This window comes from Homo sapiens, chromosome 19, assembly GCF_000001405.40.
Source record: "Homo sapiens chromosome 19, GRCh38.p14 Primary Assembly".
Taxonomy (NCBI): Eukaryota; Metazoa; Chordata; class Mammalia; order Primates; family Hominidae; genus Homo; species Homo sapiens.
The window spans coordinates 2900468-2919077 of record NC_000019.10 but is presented as its reverse complement, the minus strand read 5'-3'; the positions used below and the strand labels follow the sequence as shown (position 1 = coordinate 2919077).

Sequence of the window (18610 nt, the reverse complement as noted above, 5' to 3'; positions counted from 1 at the left end):
ACTCTGCATATTTACCAGGTTTTGCAAAAAAAAATTTGGTAAGGTACAATATATAAAATAGGTAAGTGATATCCACTATCTGTAGCAGTAGGCCAGTAAGAAATACCAAAGTTTTATTGTTGTAATGATCCCATACAGAAAAATATAGAAACTATAAAAATTATGTCATGTTTGGCCGGGCATGGTGGCTCACGCCTGTAATCCCAGCACTTTGGGAGGCCAAGGTGGGCAGACCATGAGGTCAGGAGATCGAGACCATCCTGGCTAACACGGTGAAACCCCATCTCTACTAAAAATACAAAAAATTAGCCAGGCGTGGTGGCAGGTGGCTGTAGTCCCAGCTACTTGGGAGGCTGAGGCAGGAGAATGGCGTGAACTTGGGAGGCGGAGCTTGCAGTGAGTGGAGATCGCACCACTGCACCCCAGCCTGGGTGACAGAGCAAGACTGTCTCAAAAAAAAAATAAAAAAAAAAATTGTGTCATGTTCAAAGTATGCTTCAAATCACCATGGGTCTAATACAGTTCGAAATGAAAATATTTAAGAGACAAAACACTTAACTATTAAAACTTAGGTACTATAGCTGAAAGAGGACTTAGAGAATTATTTTCTCACATAAACATTTATTTTTGAAAGAGCTGGAAATTCACGACTAATGGGTCTGTTTTACAAATGAGGTATTGACAAAGACAATATCATACTTGTAAGATTTCTCTCCTGGTGTGAATTTTCTGGAGCATTATACATGAATTAATGTGAGGTTACCCCATTAAAGTTATAGAATTTCTCTTTAGTGTGTGCTCTCACTGGTTTTAGAAAGAATGACTTGGCAACTGAAGGCTTTTGAGTATGACTGACATTCGTGGGATTTCTGTCCTGTGTGCATCCTCAGATGGTTCCGGAAGGAGGAGTGCCACTTGAAGGACATCCCACATTGTTTACATTTGTGAGGTTTCTCTCCAGTGTGCATCCTCACATGATTATGTAAGGTTGAGGACCAAGTGAAGGTTTTTCCACATTGTTTACACTCATAAGGCTTCTCTCCAGTGTGCATCCTCAAATGACCTTGGAATGCTCTGGAAGAGGTAAAGGCCTTCCCACAGTGTTCACATTTATGGAGCTGCTCTTGCGTGTGAATTCTCACATGTTCTCTAAACGTTGAGGACCAAGTGAAGGTTTTTCCACATTGTTTACACTCATAAGGCTTCTCTCCAGTGTGCGTCCTCAAATGACCTCGGAATGATCTGGAAGAGGTAAAAGCCTTCCCACATTGTTCACATTTATAGAGCTGCTCTTGCGTGTGAATTCTCACATGTTCTCTAAACGTTGAGGACCAAGTGAAGGCTTTCCCACATTGTTTACACTCATAAGGTTTCTCTCCAGTGTGCGTCCTCAAATGACCTTGGAATGATCTGGAAGAGGTAAAAGCCTTCCCACAGTGTTCACATTTATAGAGTTTGTCCCCAGTGTGGATCCTCATGTGGACTCGCAAGGTTTCAGACCAACTGAATGTTTTCCCACACTGCTTGCATTCATAGGGCTTCTCTCCCGTGTGCGTCTTCTCATGTCTTTGAAAAGCCTGGGGGTAAGTGAAGGCTTTCCCACAGTGCTGACATTTATAGGGCTTCTCTCCAGTGTGTGTTGTCATGTGTCTTTGAAATGTCGAGGGATAAATGAAGGCTCTCCCACATTCCTGACATTTATATGGCCTGTCTTTTGTGTGAGTTCTCACATGTCTAGTGAAGCTTGCGAACCCATTAAACGCCATCCGACACTGCTCGCATTTGTAGGTTTTCTCTGCTGTGTGAGTCTTTACGTGGTGGGAGAGGTAACGAGGATGTTGGAAAGTTTGCCCACATGCTTGACACTTATACGGCTTCTCCTCAGTGTCAGTTCTTCCGTGACTGTGTAGGTGTGAGGGACAAATGCAGGCCTGCTTACATTCCTCACCTGGAGGTGCTTTTCGTCCACAGTGAGACTTGACGTGCCTTTTAAGAGAAGAAAGATGCGTGAAGACTGTCCTGCACTTGGTGCATTCATATGGTTTTTCTCCAGCAGAAACTTTCTTGTGCAGGGTAAGATCTGGCATTTGATGGATGGCTTCTCCATATTGATTACCTTCATTATGTGTACAGAATCTGTCCACCATATGATTTCTGTTAAAAATGAGAGACATTTTTATGTATGGTATGTTTAGTAATGATGTGTTGAGATGTATTAACAAGTATTAGAAATAATGTCTAACTACATTTCAGTATACGTGAAGTTTTTCTATTCTGAATTGTTTGAAGAGACATATTTTTTAATGCAGTATTTATTATATATGGGGTTTTCCTGTAATTTCTTTTTATTTATTTATTTTTTGAGATGGAGTCTCACTCTGTCACCCAGGCTGGAGTGCAGTGGCGCAATCTCAGCTCACTGCAAGCTCTGCCTCCCAGGTTCACAGCATTCTCCTGCCTCCGCCTCACAGGTAGCTGGGACTACAGGTGCCTGCCACCACGCTCGGCTATTTTTTTTTTGGTATTTTTAGTAGAGGCGGGTTTTCACCATGTTAGCCAGAATGGTCTTGATCTCCTGACCTCGTGATCCGCCTGCCTCAGCCTCCCAAAGTGCTGGGATTACAGGCGTGAGCCATCGCGCCCGGCCCCCTGTAATTACTTCTAACAATTATGTTTCAAATTCTCAATGTCTTAGTCAAATACAAATTTTTTTTTTTGGTTAAAATTCTGAGGAATAAACAAATTTGGAGCAATGCTTATATTTGGAGCAATACTTAGATATATATTTAATTGCATACAAGGATTTTTCTCTTGTGAGTGCAACTCACCTCAGATTTTTGTGGTGGTCTTCAGTGCCATAGCCTTCACAATTTTTTTCTAAAGTGTAGGCACAGGAATTATTTCCTGTGAAGTTTGGTATTGTCTGTTCCTTAGATTTTTCTTGCCCGTACATATCCTGCAGAGAAACTGACCCATTGGCTTTAAATTGAGTCCCATCATCTGCAACAAAAAAGTAAACAAATCTCAAAAGGAATAAGACACGTATTAAGCAAAGGAAGACACTGAGGAGTTTAGCATTTTGAGGACCTCATCAATAACAGACATAAGGGGTCAAAATGTTAGGTATTTCACAAACACAGTAAGTCACAGGTATCAAACAAGGAACCACTCTGTGATCCTAAATGACCAGTGAAATCTATACCCCTACTAATGACACTAAAGGAACTTCAAGTCCTTTAAACCAAGACAGAAATAACATCTGTTTCACACATGTTTTCACTGTTAGGGAATAATGACTAGATTCTAGGTCCATGGTGGCTGTGAACATGTCTGTCTTAGTCCTTTCCCACATTTCACATCTTGCAACAGAACTGATGAGAAAGAAATGAGTTCATTAAAAACCAAGGGAAGGAATGATGCCATCCTCACCTACTGAGGCCAGGTTCCGGAAGGTCTCCAGCATCACATCTCTGTAGAGGTCCCTCTGAGCAGAATCCAGCAAAGCCCACTCCTCCAGGGTGAAGTCCACAGCCACATCCTCAAAGACCACTGAGTCCTAAGACAAACCACACAGGTGTGCAGGAGGATTGGAGACACTGAAAGTACTGGGGAACTGGACTCAATTCATAAATTCAAACAAGATTCTGTGGTGTCCCAACACCTCCTCTATGACGCGAATGTTAGATCTTTTACTTATTCACAATCACTTCCTAGTAAACTTCATGGCACCACTATCAGTCTGAACTTATCTCTGCCTTTTTACTGCGACTGCTCTTATTTTCCTCTACCAGGAGGGTCTAGAGAAATGCTATGCAAATGAAGTAACTTTTCCATTTGAAACGTTGCATAACGCAGCAGGCCTCGGTTGTCCAAACGATGCACATTTCATAGGACTTTCGGAAAAGCCTTCCACCAGCTACTGCAGAAAATGGTAAGTCCTTGGAATCCCCTGCCTGGTGAGGGGATCTTTGTATGGACGGGCCTGAGGCTGGCCAGGGAGTTTCTAACAATGTGACTTAAGAATTCCTGTCTTTGTCTGCCTGGAGCCCTAGGCAACATTGTATCCGTTTTCCCCCTTTATTCCCCTTTATTTTCTTAAATTATTTTAAAGGCAACTGTATGAATATGTTTGGAAAGCACTGTTGGATGTATAACACATAAGAATACCTATTTGCCAATAACAGCACAGAGGAGGAGGGTGGGAGGGAGCAAAGGCATATTTAAGCAAAGGGACATGACTACAGATGGTAAAGTACTAATTAAAACGCACTGTTTTGGCATATAATATTCATGGATGTAGCATGTATTCATATTGCCATAGAAGTTGGAGGGGCAGGAAGGAATAGAGCTACACACGCAGCATTTCTGTATCTCACTGGAATCGAGCGATGAATATAAACCCGAAGCTCATCTGATAAGCCTCGCATTGACAATACAGTAACCCCTAAAGAGACCAACAAACAGTAAAAAGTTAAACAACTGAAAGGTTTCATTAGAAAATACTTAATGAAAATGAAAGTAGTGGCCGGGTGCAGTGGCTCACGCCTGTAATCCCAGCACTTTGGGAGGCCGAGGCAGGCAGATCACCTGAGGTCGGGAGTTTGAGACCAGCCTGACCAACATGGAGAAACCCCCGTCTCTGCTAAAAATACAAATTTTGCTGGGCATGGTGGTGCGTGCCTGTAATCCTAGCTACTCAGGAGGCTGAGGCAGGAGAATCACTTGAACCCAGGAGGTGGAGGTTGCGGTGAGCCAAGATTGTGCTCTCCAGCCAAGAATGTCACTCTAGCCTAGGTGACAGAGCAAGACTCAAAAAAATAAATAAAAATAAAAGAAATGGATAATTAAAAATACAAGTTGAAACATAAACACCCATTCTTTTTTCTTTTTTAGTTGAGCACAGCATCATCAATTACCCCACTTTTTAATGAGAGAACATCTAGGTGAAATACGAGGAAATAAAATAATTGAACACTATAAGTCATTTAGACATAGCAGACATCTGCAGAACACTGAACCCAACAACAGCAAAACACACATTCTTCTCAAGTGCAGAAGAACGTTCTGTAAAAGAGACCCTTTGCTAGGCCATAGAAGAAACCTCAACACATTTTAAACAATAGAAATACAAAATATTGGCCGGGCGCGGTGGCTCACGCCTGTAATCCCAGGATTTTGGGAGATCAAGGCAGATGGATCGCTGGAGCTCAGGTGTTCGAGACCAGCCTGGGCAACATAGTGAGACCCTGTCTCTACTAAAAATGCAAAAATTTGCTGGGTATGGTGGCACACACGTGGATTCCCAGCTACTTGGGAGGGTGAGGCACGAGAACTGCTTGAAGACAGAAGTTGCAGTGAGCTCTGATCACATCACTGACAGAGTGAGAGTTAGTCTCCCCCCACCAAAAAAAAAACCAGAAATAAGTATGTTCTCTGACCACAATGGAATGAGAAATGAAATCTGAAACTAATACAGAAAATTTGGCAAATTCACTAATATGTGGATATTAACACACTCCTCCATAACTAATGGATCAAAGAGAAATCAAAAGGGAAATACTTCGAGATGGATGTAAAATAAAGACATAATATACCAAAACTTATATAAAGGAAGTTAATAGCTATAAATACCTATCCTAAAGATTGCAAATCAACAACCTAACGTGGTCCACCTCGACACAATAGGAAAATAAAACTAAACCTAAGCAATTAGGAGTAAGGAAATAATAAATATTACAGGCAAATTAATGAAATAGAGAACAGTAAAACAATAGAGAAAAATCAATGAAACCAAAGCTAGTTGTTTGAAAAGATCAAACAAAACTGATTTAGCAGCCAGGCACAGTGGCTCACACCTGTCATCTCAGCACTTTAGAGGTGGGTGGATCACAAGGTCAGCAGTTTGAGACCAGCTGAGCCAATATGGTGAAACCCCGTCTCTACTAAAAACACAAAAATTAGCTGGGCGTGGTGGCGGATGCCTGTAATCCCAGCTACTCAGGAGGCTGAGGAGGGAGAATCGCTTGAACCCAGGAGGCAGAGGTTGCAGTGAGCCGAGATCGCACCATTGCACTCCAGCCTGGGTGACAGGGCAAGACTCAGTCTCAACAACAAAAAAGTGGGGAAAGGATGTAAATAGACATTTCTCCAAGAAAAATAAACATTGTCAGTAATTAGTCATCAAAGAAATGCAAATCAAAACAAAAAGGAGATACCACTTCTCACCCACTAGGATGGGTAAAATAAAAAACTAAAAAAGAAAATAAGTTTTGGCAAGGATATGGAGAAACAGGAATCTTCACACATTGCTGGTGGGAATGTAAAATGGTACAACCAATTAAGAAAACAGTGTGGCAGTTCTTTTTAAAAGTTAAATGACTTCTAGTTTTTGGTCCAGCATGTAAGGAGCTTGGAAGTTATTATTCCCTTGTAACAAAAAGCTGAACAAACTGAAACCTCAACAAGCTCTTCTTCCATCCTTCAGAGAACTGATGTCACAAGGCAAGCTCTGCCCCCTCAAACTGAAGAGAGAGGCGGATACAGAGAGTCATAACTTACCAGAACACGCAACCATGAACAGAAGCCTCTGTGGGAACCGTTACTTAGATGGGAAACCCTGAGCTGTAACTGATGAATTGCTGGGGGCACAGCGGGCCCAAGTCTGAGTTAGCAATCTCAGGGGGCCCAGTCTTGTAGAGGAGAAGAATAATGATTTTGAAATAGGCTAGATATTTCTGCTCTTTCTCACCGGGCCTTTCCCTTAAAACTATTTGATCAGAGCCTCACCTGTTGGGGTTTCATCAGTGTCTAAATTACCTGTGGAAAGAGATGTATCCCCCATCATCTTCCTCTATTCATCTTGTCCCGCCAAGTGAGAGGAGAAGGAAGAACTGAGAAGCACTTGTGAAGTTCAGTGTCGCGGGGCACAGGCTCAAGAATAGACTGAGACGTCATCAAAGGATCAGGGAATCCTTGCCCTCTGCCCACATCTCACCACTGGGTTACTAAAGGTCTATTTACTTCAGTGCCTTTCACCCAGTACATTGCGTCTGGCTTTCCAGAAAGAAATGACAAGGCATACTAAAAGGCAAAAGACAGAGCTTGAAGAGATAAAGCAGAACCCCTCATATATGGCAGGGACATTGGAATTATCAGACTGGGAATTTAAAACAAGTATGATTAACAGGTGAAGTGCTCTAATGGAAAAAGTAGACAACATGCAAAAACAGGCAATACAGGCTGAGAAGTGGAAATCCTAAGAATGAAAAAGCCATGGGAGAGATTTGAAAAGCACTGTAACAGAAATGGAGAATGACTTTAATGGACACATGAGTAGACTGGGTGTGGCTGAGGAAAGACTCTGAGCCTGAAGACATGTAATGAAAACTTCTAGGTTGGGTGCGGTGGCTCATGCCTGAAATGCCAGCATTTTGGGAGGCTGGGGCGGGAGGATTGCTTGAGGCCAGGAGTTCAAGACCAGTCTGGGCAACATAGTGACACCCTGTCTTTACAAAGTTTTTTTTGTTGTCGTTTTTTTTTGTTTTTGAGACAGACTCTCCCTCTGTCGCCCAGGCTGGAGTGCGATGACACAATCTCAGTTCACTGCAACCTCTGCCTCTCGGGTTCAGGAGATTCTCCCGCATCAGCCTCCCGAGCAGCTGGGATTACAGGCACCCGCCATCATGCCCAGCTAATTTTTTTGGTATTTTTGTAGAGACAGGGTTTCACCATGTTGGCCAGGCTGGTCTCAAACTCCTGACCTCAGGTGATCCACCCACCTCGGCCTCCCAGAGTGCTGGGATTACAGGCATGAGCCACCGTGCCCGGCCACAAAAAGTTTTTAAAAATAAGCTGGGCTTGGAGGCATATACCCTGTGGTCCTAGCTACTTGGGAAGCTGAGGTAACAGGATGGCTTGAGCCCAGGAGATTAAGGCTGCAGTGAGCCATGATTGTACCACTGCACTCCAACCTGGCTGATAGAGCAAGACCCTGCCAAATAAATAAATAAATATCTCTAGGGCTATCACTAAAAAAAGGAAAGAGAAGCATACCTGACTTGCTAAGAAAGGAGAAAAAATGGAATCACACAAAACATGCAATCAAAACCAAAAAAGGCAGAAAAAGAGTGGAAGACAAAATAAGGAACAACGAACCAGGGCAACAAAAACAGAAAACAGTAACCAGGCCGGGCCCGGTGGCTCACGCCCGTCATCCCAGCACTTCCGGAGGCCGAGGCGGGCGGATCACGACGTCAGGAGATGGAGACCATCCTGGCCAACACAGGGAAACCCCGTCTCTACTAAAAATATAAAAATTAGGCCAGGCGCATTGGCTCACGCCTGTAACCCCAACACTTCGGGAGGCCGAGGCGGGCAGATCACGATGTCAGGAGATTGAGACCATCGTGGCTAACATGGTGAAACCCTGTCTCTACTAAAAATACAAAAAATTAGCTGGGCATGGCGGGGAGTACCTGTAGTCCCAGCTGCTGGGGAGGCTGAGGCAGGAGAATGGCGTGAACCCAGGAGGCGGCGCTTGCAGTGAGCAGAGATCGCGCCACTGCACTCCAGCCTGGGAAACAGAGTGAGACTCTGTCTCAAAAAAAAAAAAAAAAAAAAAGAAAAGAAAAGAAACAGATCAAGCACGTGGAACATCAATAAGCACAGAGTTGAATTCAACAGCACCCCCAATGATGAATGTCTGTAGACAACTTCAACAACAGCAGAAAACACATTCTTGTCAAGCTCACGTGGAACACTCCTCAACCTAGACTGTATTTTGGGACATAAAACACCTTAACAAGTTTAAAAGAATATCGTACATCATATGCTCTTAGACAATACTGGAATTAAATCAGCATTGCCCTAAAATAAAACATACAGGTATAAATCTAACAAAATGTGCACAAGATCTTAGGAAAATTGTAAAACTCTGACAGAAGAAATCAAAGAACTAAGTGAATAGTTATTCCATGTCCACGTATAGAAGACCCAATATTGTCAAGACATTGGTTCTTCCCAACTTGATCTATAGATTCAACACAATCCCAATCAAAATCCCAGCAAGTTATTTGGTGGATATTGACAAACTGATTGTAAAGTTTATATGGAGAGGTAAAAGACTCAAAATACCAACACAGTATTGAAGGGGAAGGTTCAAGTTGGAAGACTGACACTATGCATTTTCCAGGCTTTCTGGAGAGCTGTAGTCATCAGGAGAGTGCGATGTAGAGTAAAGCATGTACAAATAGGCCAGGTGTGGTGGCACATGCCTGTAATCCCAGCATGTTGGGAGGCCAAGGTGGGAGGATTGCTTGAGCTCAGGAGTTTCACATCACCCTGGGCAACACAGTGAGACCCCATTTCTAAAATTAAGAAAAAATTAGCCAGGTGTGGAGGCTAAAGACCTTAAGACAACTCATCTGTGAAGATATAGATGGCAGATGAGTATATAAAAAATGCTCCACATCATGTCATCAGGGAAATGCAAATTAAAACAAGATACCGGCCAGGCACAGAGGCTCATGCCTGTAATCCTAGCACTTTGGGAGGCCGAGGCGTGCGGATCACGACGTCAAGACTATCCTGGCTAACATGGTGAAACCCCGTCTCTACTAAAAATACAAAAAATTAGCCGGGCGTGGTGTCGGGCGCCTGTAGTCCCAGCTACTCGGGAGGCTGAGGCAGGAGAATGGCGTGAACCCAGGAGGCAGAGCTTGCAGTGAGCCGAGATCGCGCCACTGCACTCCAGCCTGGGCGACAGAGCGAGACTCTGTCTCAAAAAAAAAAAAAAAAACAAAAATAAATAAAATAAAATCTATTATAAGGAAAAAAAGTTAACATAGTATTATCAAATGGAAATTCCACTCCTAAATATATACTGAAGAAATTTGAAAACATTTAAAGAAACATTTGTACCCAAATGTTCACAGCAGCACTATTCACAATAGCCAAAAGGTGGAAACAACTCAAAGTTGATCAACTGATAAACAAAATGTGGTACAGCCCACACAGTAGATATGACTCAGCCATGTAAGGAATGGAGCTCTAACAGGCTAAAACATGAATGACCCTGAAAACATGCCCAGTGAGAGAAGCCGTCAGAAAAGAACACATATTAGGATTCCATTCATATGAAATGTCAAAAGAACAAAAGAATAAAAAGGAAAAAAAGAGAAACAACATACGAAATGTCAAGAACAGCCAAATCTCTAGAGACAGAGGCAGATGAGTCATTTCTTAGGGTGGTGGAGGGGCTCCGGGGCAATAGGAGAGTGATAACTGAAGGGTCTGGGGGTTTCTTCGTGAGGTGATGGAAATGTCCTCAAGTTGACTGTGGTCTTGGTTGCAGGATTCTGTGACTGTAAAAACCAATGGCCGGGCGCAGTGGCTCACACCTGTCATCCCAGCACTTTGGGAGGCCGAGGAGGGCGGATCACGAGGTCAGGAGGTCGAGATCATCCTAGCTATCTCTACTAAAAATGCAAAAAATTAGCCGGGCGTGGTGACGGGTGCCTGTAGTCCCAGCTACTGGGGAGGCGGAGCTTCGAGTGCGCGCTACTGCACTCCAGCCTGGGCGACAGAGCAAGACTCCGTCTCAAAAAAAAAAAAAAAAACCAAAAAAATAACAACAACAATGAAATGTGCACGTTAAATGGCTGTACGTTCTATATGTCAGTAAAGCTGGTTTTTAAAAAACATAAAGAATGTGAAGTTCACTGTCTTCCTCAAAAACATGATACACAAAATGAAGACGCCCATGACCTCACCTCTAGTCAACGTTATACTAGTTCCAGCACCACCAGGAAATATACAAGAATTATAAAACATAAACTTGTCTTTTTGCAAATTTCTAAGAATTATGCACATAAAACCCCAACAGAACAAAGAGATAATCCTAGAAAAAGATTTTTACCAAGATTCCAAGAAATTGCATTATGTTTCTACTTCATAATAGTTGGAAAATTAATTTTTAAAAGCTGATACATACTATGGGAAAATCCAAAGTTAAATAAGTACTTAAGGCTAGTAAAGGATTTCAATGGAGAAACAAATCTTGATTGGGGCCCTGTGAGGTGGTTCATGCCCATAATCCCAGCATTTTGGGAGGCCGAGGCAGGAAGACTGCTTGAGGCCAGGAATTTGAGACCACCCTGGGCGACATAAGGAGACACAGTCTACAATTTTTTTATTATTTTTAAAATTAGCCAGGCATGATGGCATGTGCCTGCAGTCCTAGCTACTAGGGAGGCTGAGGCAGCAGGATCACTTGAGCCCAGGAGGTTTCAGTGAGCTGTGATCACACCACTGTACTCCAGTCTGGGCAACAGAGTGAGATCCTCTCTTAATGAGACTTTTTAGGACTTGACAAAACTACTTTCCAAATCTAACAGAGAAAAAGAGTCTAAAAATAGCCAAAACTTTCCGAAGAACAGGGTGAAGGCTTACCTAACACAGGGCAAGGATTTAAGAGCTGTCAATCTTGCCAGTACAGTATTAGCAGAAGGATGGACAAACGAACCAATGGAAAAGAATGGATCTCTCTGTGACATAACGATAATGAAAATCCTACTGAAGTGTAGGATGGGGGAAAAATAATTCCTATGACATTATGAAGTGCAAGAGGGTAGCTGGCCTTGGGGATGAGAGGGTTTTAGATTTTAGAGATTTAATTTGCGCTTTCGGAAGAGCCAGGCACGGGGACAGGCTCGTGGGCCTGCTGCAGAACTTTCCAGGTGGGGCGAGCTGCTGCACCCCACTAGACTCAAGTCCCCACCACTTTGTTCATATTTCTGGTCGTTATTTGAAGCAGCAGCCCAGGCAGGAAGCATACCTCATTTATCAACACCCACGGCCAGAGCAAGCCTAACACTTTTTAGGTCTATCTGGGTTTTGGAGAGAACGTATTCCTCACTTACAGGTTTTACTCTGACCCATCTGTGCGATCAGAAATCAGCCTACTTGTGGGACAACAGAGGTTCTAGATTCTGTGGAAAATGCAATGACGACAGGATTCCACTCTGCCCCGCCCCCACCCCCCGCCTGGACTCCTCTGGAGAGGTTCTCGAAGCCTCCGCTCCAGCCTCAGGGAATCTCAGACCAGTCCCAGTGGCGGTGAATTGGCCATGGGGATCTGGTGCAAGACACTGTCCTCCCATGTGGCCTCCACAGCCCACTAGAGACCGAGGCTCCCACGGGCCCTGTGCCTCTCTGCCCGGAGCTGCCCTGATGCCTCCGGTGGTGACACTCACGGGTCCACAGAACCTCCTTCCTGAAATGGAAATGATACTTATGGCACCGAGGCAAACCTGGGCCCTCTGGCCCATCCCCCGAGGACAGTCTTGTGCGCACACAACACGGATGTCCAAGTCCTTCTAACCACACACAGCAGACAGTGACTGTCTGGAAGCTTCACAGCCAGGACGACGCTCCCTGGTAGCCACGCAGCAGATGACCGTGTGGCTTTGGACTGTTTCTTTACTGGCCAGCTAGGGAGGGGGCGGTTTCGGCAAAGGGGCTGCTTCTTGCATATGGGTAGACGGGCAAGGCTGTGCAATCAACTCCACAATGACAACAGAATAATCAACATTGCTAAAATACTTGATCTGAGCCCCACTGGCATATTTTTCTTGCTCTGTCTTCAGTGTTCCAAAGCTCCTTCAGGCCTGCTTGTCCTTACTAAGATACACTGCTTGGGCATTAGCCTTTTAAAATTCACACTCAGGGCCGGGCACCATGGCTCACGCCTTTCCTCCCAGCACTTTGGGAGGCTGAGGCGGGAGGATCGCTTGAGCCCAGGAATTTGAGACCAGCCTGGGCAACACAGCAAGACCCCAGCTCTATAAAAATTTTTTTTAATTAGCTGGGTGTGGTGGCATGAATCTGCAGTCCCAGCTACTCAGGAGGCTGAGGCCGAAGATCGCTTGAGTGCAGGAGTTTGAGGCTGCAGTGAGCCATGATTGCATCACTGCACTCCAGCCTGGGCAACAGAGGAATTTTATATCTAATGAAGGATATAAAACAATCATCATGGAACAATTATAAAACACTACCGAATGACATCAAAGGAGAGAGAAATGAGAGATGGCACGCGGACTGAGGAAGGAAACAATGCCACCACGTCAGCAGATCTCTCAGACCGATCTGGGGTTTGAATACAATTCCATTACATCCAAAACCAGCCTCATTTTTTTTCCTTGTTTTTGAATTTATGAAAAACTACTTCTAAGAACTGAAATGAAAGGCAAATGTCTAAGAACAATCAGGTTTCCTACAGAACAAGGTAGAGGGACAATTCTTTTTTTTTTTTTTTTGAGACAGAGTCTTGCTCTGTCACCCAGGCTGGAGTGCAGTGGCGCAATCTCAGCTCACTGCAACCTCCGTCTCCTGGGTTCACGCCATTCTCCAGCCTCAGCCTCCCGAGTAGCTGGGACTACAGGCGCCCACCACCACACCCGGCTAATTTTTTGTATTTTTTAGTAGAGACGGGGTTTCACCCTATTAGCCAGGATGGTCTCGATCTCCTGACCTCGTGATCCGCCCGCCTCCGCCGGTAGAGGGACAATTCTAAAACACATCAAGGCACTTAAATCACAATCATAATTAGGAGGGCCAGGTGCAGTGGCTCACGCCTGTAATGCAAATACTTTGGAATGCCGAGGGGGGGGGGGCGATCACCTGAAGTCAAGAGTTCGAGACCAGCCTGGCCAACATGATGAAACCCCATCTCTACTAAAAATTTAAAAATTAACTGGGCGTGCTGGCATGTGCCTGTAATCTCAGCTACTCGGGAGGCTGAGGCAGAAGAATCGCTTGAACCCTGGAGACGGAGGATGCAGTGAGCCAAGATTGTGCCACTGCACTCCAACCTGAGCAACAAAGCAAGACTCCATCTCAAAAAAAGAAAAAATAGTAATTAGAGGATGGTATCGTCAGGATGGACAAATAGACCAACACAAAAGGATGGGAAGCTGTGTTTATGGTGCATGAATATATGACAGAGCAAGCGTTGCAACAATGCTGGAAACGAGGGGCAGTTTAACACCTGGGCAAGGAGAGATGCTATCTATGGGAGAATAAGGAACATCCACATCAACTGCAAGTTCAATCGTCGGCATAATGCACATCTCACTGTGAATGACAAGAGCAGAGCCCATTCAGAAGTTAGTTCTTACAACGTCCAGGCATGGAAAGTGCTCACATATGCCCACACACAGACAGTAAGCTACGAGGGAGGCCAGGTGCAGTGTGGCTCACACCTGTAATCCCAGCACTTTGGGAGGCTGAGGCAGGTAGATCACTTGAGGCCAAGAGTTTGAGACCAACCTGGCCAACATTATGAAACTCTGTGTCTACTAAAAGTGTAAAAATTAGCCAGGCTTGGTGGCACATGCCTGTAACCACAGCTATTCGGGAGGCTGAGGTAGGAGGATTGCTTGAACCCGGGAGGTGGAGGTTGCAGTGAGCCGAGATGGTGCCACTGCACTCCAGCCTGGGCCACAGAGCGAAACTCTGTCTCAAAAAAAACAAAAACAAACAAACAAAAACAAAGAAACAAACAAAAAAAACTTTGGCTGGGTGTGGTGGTGCACACCTGTGGTCTCAGCTACTTGGAAAGCTGAGGTGAGGGGATGACTTAAAGCCAGGAGTTTGAGACTGCAGTGAGCCACGATCACACCACTGCACTCCAGCTTGGGCAATAGAACAAGACCTTGTCTCTAAAAATAAATAAGTACACAAAATAAATGAACACACTTGAATTAACCCAAGCCTGACAAACGCTGGAATGATTGAACTAACTGCGTCACCCACTGTCTCAGACACCAGCATGTGCGCAAAGGAAAGAAACCACAGAAAAGCCTTTTGAGCTGCTATTCACGGTGCATTAATGGTCACAGTCACTTATTGAAATTTCAGGCCAGGTGCAGTGGCCCATGCTTGTAATCCCAGCACTTTGGGAGGCCAAGGAGGGCAGATCGCTTGAGTCCAGGAGTTTGAGACTAGCCTGGGGCAACAGCGAGGCCCCCCGTCTCTACAAAAAAATATAAAAATTAGCCAGGAATGGGCCGGGCGCGGTGGCTCACGCCTGTAATCCCAGCACTTTCGGAGGCTGAGGCGAGCGGAACACCAGGTCAGGAGATCAAGACCATCCTGGCTAACAGGGTGAAACCCCGTCTCTACTAAAAATACAAAAAATTAGCCGGGCGAGGTGGCGGTCGCCTGTAGTCCCAGCTACGCAGGAGGCTGAGGCAGGAGAATGGCGTGAACCCCGGAGGGCGGAGCCTGCAGTGAGCCGAGATCGCACCACTGCACTCCAGCCTGGGCGACAGAGTAAGACCCTGCCTGAAAAAAAAAAAAAATTCAAAGGAGGCAAAATTAAAACTCTGTATGGTGATAAATAATAAATGGTAAAGGTAGAGAGAATGAAAAAAAAAATCAGGACAGTGGTTACCCTGGGGGCAGAACAGAGATGAGCGCTGGGAGCAGCACACAGGTGTTGAAGAGAGGCCGGAGGCCTATTTATGCGGGCAGTAAGGCCACTGGTGTTTATATTAAAACTTAATCCAGGCCGGGCGCGGTGGCTCACGCCTGAAATCCCAGCACTTTGGGAGGCGGAGGAGGGTGGATCACTTAAGGTCAGGAGTTTGAGACCAGCCTGGCCAACATGGCGAAACCCCGTCTCTACTAAAAATATAAAAATTAGCCGGTCGTGGTGGCAAGTGCCTGTAATCCCAGCTACTCGGGAGGCTGAGGCAGGAGAATTGCTTGAACCCGGGAGGCGGATGATACAATGTGTGGAGATCACGCCACTGTACTCCAGCCTGGGAGACACAGTGTCTCCAAAAAAGAAAAACAACACTTAAAGCATAAACTAAACCCACTGCTTAGAAACGGCTCCAAGACAGCACAGGTGCAACCTCAGAAAGGCTAAAACGCCCACAAGCACATCTCCAGGACAATCGTCTTTCCCATGCTCAGCAGCCTCAATCAGCATGAACAGTTCCCGCTGCGGCTGTTCTACGAGGCAGGAGGACTGAGCAAGTGGAGGCTGCCCAGCCAGACCCCGCTGCACCCTCAGCGGCCTCCAGTGCAGGCTCAACTGTGGGCTCAGCTGGAGTCACCGGTCTTGGGGCTCACCTCCCTGCTCCAGGTGCTACACTTTAAATGCCACAAAGACCCTCATCCCGTAGAGTGAGAATGCAGCAGAATCAGTGCTTTCCACCCCTTGTGTAAGTGGGGGAAGGGAGTTCCAAGGCAGTCTTTATGACTTTACATGGCCAGAAACTGCTTTTCCCAGTCAGCAAACAGATGATGGATCAGTGAAGCAATACTCCTGGTGACAAACTGGAAACTAACCAGAATGGAACACGCCTCAGTTTTACAGGTTTTTGCAGAATTTGCATTAATCTCATGTCTAGCTGAACTGAAATGGAACACGATCACACACTGTCGCAAACTCTGCACCTTGTATGGAAGAATAACTATTATTTTTTGTCTGATTGCTTTGGCATTTGAAAAACTACTATTTTTATGAACATTTTAATCCATCTCTAGCTGCTATAAGATGTGGAACTGCGCACACTTTCTCTACAATTCTGGTGGGAGACAGAATATTCCTGAGAGACTTCCTTAGGCCATGCTTAGCCTGTACCCCACGATAAACAGGTGTTATCCTGACGGACCAGAAGGCAGAAAACACACTTGAACATTTTCCTATTGTCACTAAGGAGAAGAAAAAAGCCAAACAGGAGAACAGTACAGTACATTTACTGACACCGGCTGCCCGAATAAAGCTTTCACAGCATTAGTGATACCCTGCAACAAAACCCCCAGGGCAGCTAACTCCCACCGCTGAGGTCGTCCCCCAAACTGCCTCTGACCCCCAGGCCGTCCCTTGCCATCCCCCCAAGCTGTCCCCTGTAAGGTTCTCTGAGCTGGCCGCACCATGGTCAAGCCCCCCGCCCTTGTGATAATGTACTTTGTGATATTCCCCCGCCCTTGTGAATGTACTTTGTACGATACGTCCTCCTCGCCCTTGTGAATGTACCCCGCCCTTGTGACAATACACGCTCGCGCCCTTGTGAAGGTACTTTGTAATATTCCTCCCAGCCCTTGTGACAATACATCCCCCAAGCCCTTGTGAATGTACTTTGAAACATCGTCGCCGCCCTTGAGAATGTACTTTGTAACACCCACCAACTGTCCTCAAAAAAACTGCTCCTAACTCCGATGCCTGTCCCAAACCTATAAGGACTAATGATTGCCGGGCGCGGTGGCTCACGCCTGTAATCCCAGCACTTTGGGAGGCCGAGGCGGGCGGATCACAAGGTCAAGAGATCGAGACCATTCTGGCCAACATGGTGAAACCCTGTCTCTACTAAAAACAAAAATTAGCCGGGCGTGAGGGCGGGCGCCTGTAATCTCAGCTACTCCGGAGGCTGAGGCAGGAGAATCGCTTGAACCCGGGAGGCGGAAGTTGCAGTGAGCCGAGATCACGCCACTGCACTCCAGCCTGGCGACAGAGCGGGACTCCGTCCCAAAAATAAAAAAAATAAAAAAATAAAACCAATAATAATCCCATCACCCTTTGCTGAGTCCTTTCTCAGACTCAGCCCACTTGCACCCAAGTGAGTAAACAGCCTTGTGGCTCACACTAAGCCTGCTCAGGTGACCTCTTATACGGACACGCGTAACATCCCCAACCTGCTGACCGTCCCTTGCCGTCCCCCCAAACTGGTCCCTGACCCCTGACCGCCCCTACCGTCCCCCCAAACTACCTCCAGCCCCCCTCCTGCCCAGGCCTCCCCCTAAGTTACCCCCAAGCTCCTTGCCGCCCCTTCCGTCCCCCCAAACTGCCCCCAGTCCTCCAGCCCGGCCGCTGTGATGGCGTCCCCGGGTCCCAGGTGCTAGTCCTGCGCCGCCCCGCGCGTCCCTCAGCCAATCCCGGCCGCAGACTTCGGCGGACTCTGGTTCCAGCCGGTTCCCGTCGCTCCGACCGTCCCCTGGCTCTGCTCCTGCCTCGCACTCACCATGTCTCCCCTGCTCCTGGGCTCTCCAAGGCGAGCTCTCCGTGGCCTCGCGGCCGGCGCAGCTGAAAGGTACAGGTACTCCCGGGCCGCTCGTGGTAGGCAGGGCACGCGCGGCAGGGAGGACGAAACGTCCCGCCCTCGGGGCCTCGGAGCTCAGGAAGCGGCGCCCTGATTGGACAATCTCTAAGCCCCCGCCCTTTCAACGCTCTGAGCGGACAGCGTTTTGGACACGCCCCCTTCACCCCTGGGGCCTTCGATTGGACACTACTGCAAACCTGCAATCCGCTTCCCGGTGTCCGCCCCGTGCCTTGATTGGACAGTTTTCCGGACCCGCCCCCGGAGCACCTGATTGGAAGATAACTTCCGCGCCGCCCCGCCTCCTGTCGCCCGAGTGACCGGCGCGTAGCCAACGCTAGTGGCTGACCCGCCAGCGGTGGACACTCCCGTTTGCGCGAACTCGCTCTGGCCCGGGGTGAGCCCAACCTCTCCCCGCAGCTCGGCCGCGCCTCCCGCGTCCTTCTCCCGAACGGGCACGAGAAGTCCAGACTCAGTTTCCCCACGGAGCAGCCGGAGTGCTGCGT

At 46.6% G+C, this 18610-nt stretch overlaps 1 protein-coding gene across 3 annotated transcripts, besides 3 other annotated features; it reads right to left on the bottom strand.

The window, feature by feature from the left end:
- Positions 1–604: 604 nt before the first annotated feature.
- ZNF57 (zinc finger protein 57) lies at positions 605–18150 on the bottom strand. Of its 3 annotated transcripts, none has more exons than NM_173480.3 (4): positions 18030–18150; positions 3430–3556; positions 2829–3000; positions 605–2154 (listed from the first exon to the last, which is right to left on the bottom strand). In NM_173480.3, the coding sequence occupies exons 1-4, from the start codon at positions 18030–18032 to the stop codon at positions 789–791; spliced, it is 1668 nt and encodes a 555-aa protein (NP_775751.1). In that variant the 5' UTR covers positions 18033–18150; the 3' UTR covers positions 605–788. The 3 variants fall into 3 exon arrangements, with proteins under 3 accessions (NP_775751.1, NP_001306012.1, XP_011525984.1); NM_001319083.2 differs by lacking the exon at positions 18030–18150 and adding an exon at positions 11919–11970; XM_011527682.3 differs by lacking the exon at positions 18030–18150 and adding an exon at positions 11834–11852.
- Positions 17953–18102: an enhancer, noted in NCBI's record as "active region_13721". NCBI's record gives its function as "activates an Ori minimal core promoter by ATAC-STARR-seq in GM12878 lymphoblastoid cells {active_cell/tissue: GM12878}" and the evidence as "EXISTENCE:reporter gene assay evidence [ECO:0000049][PMID:35858748]".
- Positions 17953–18533: a biological region, named in NCBI's record as "H3K27ac hESC enhancer GRCh37_chr19:2900543-2901114".
- Positions 17962–18533: an enhancer, noted in NCBI's record as "H3K27ac hESC enhancer chr19:2900543-2901114 (GRCh37/hg19 assembly coordinates)". NCBI's record gives its function as "activates a minimal SCP1, AML or CMV promoter by ChIP-STARR-seq in naive H9 embryonic stem cells {active_cell/tissue: H9 hESC(naive)}" and the evidence as "EXISTENCE:reporter gene assay evidence [ECO:0000049][PMID:30033119]".

Coding starts and splice junctions, on each gene's coding strand:
- ZNF57 (NM_173480.3), bottom strand. Junction 3,001..3,429: donor CCGGAACCTGGCCTCAGTAG/GTGAGGATGGCA, acceptor TTTTTGTTGCAG/ATGATGGGACTCAATTTAAA. Junction 2,155..2,828: donor GACCACCACAAAAATCTGAG/GTGAGTTGCACT, acceptor CATTTTTAACAG/AAATCATATGGTGGACAGAT.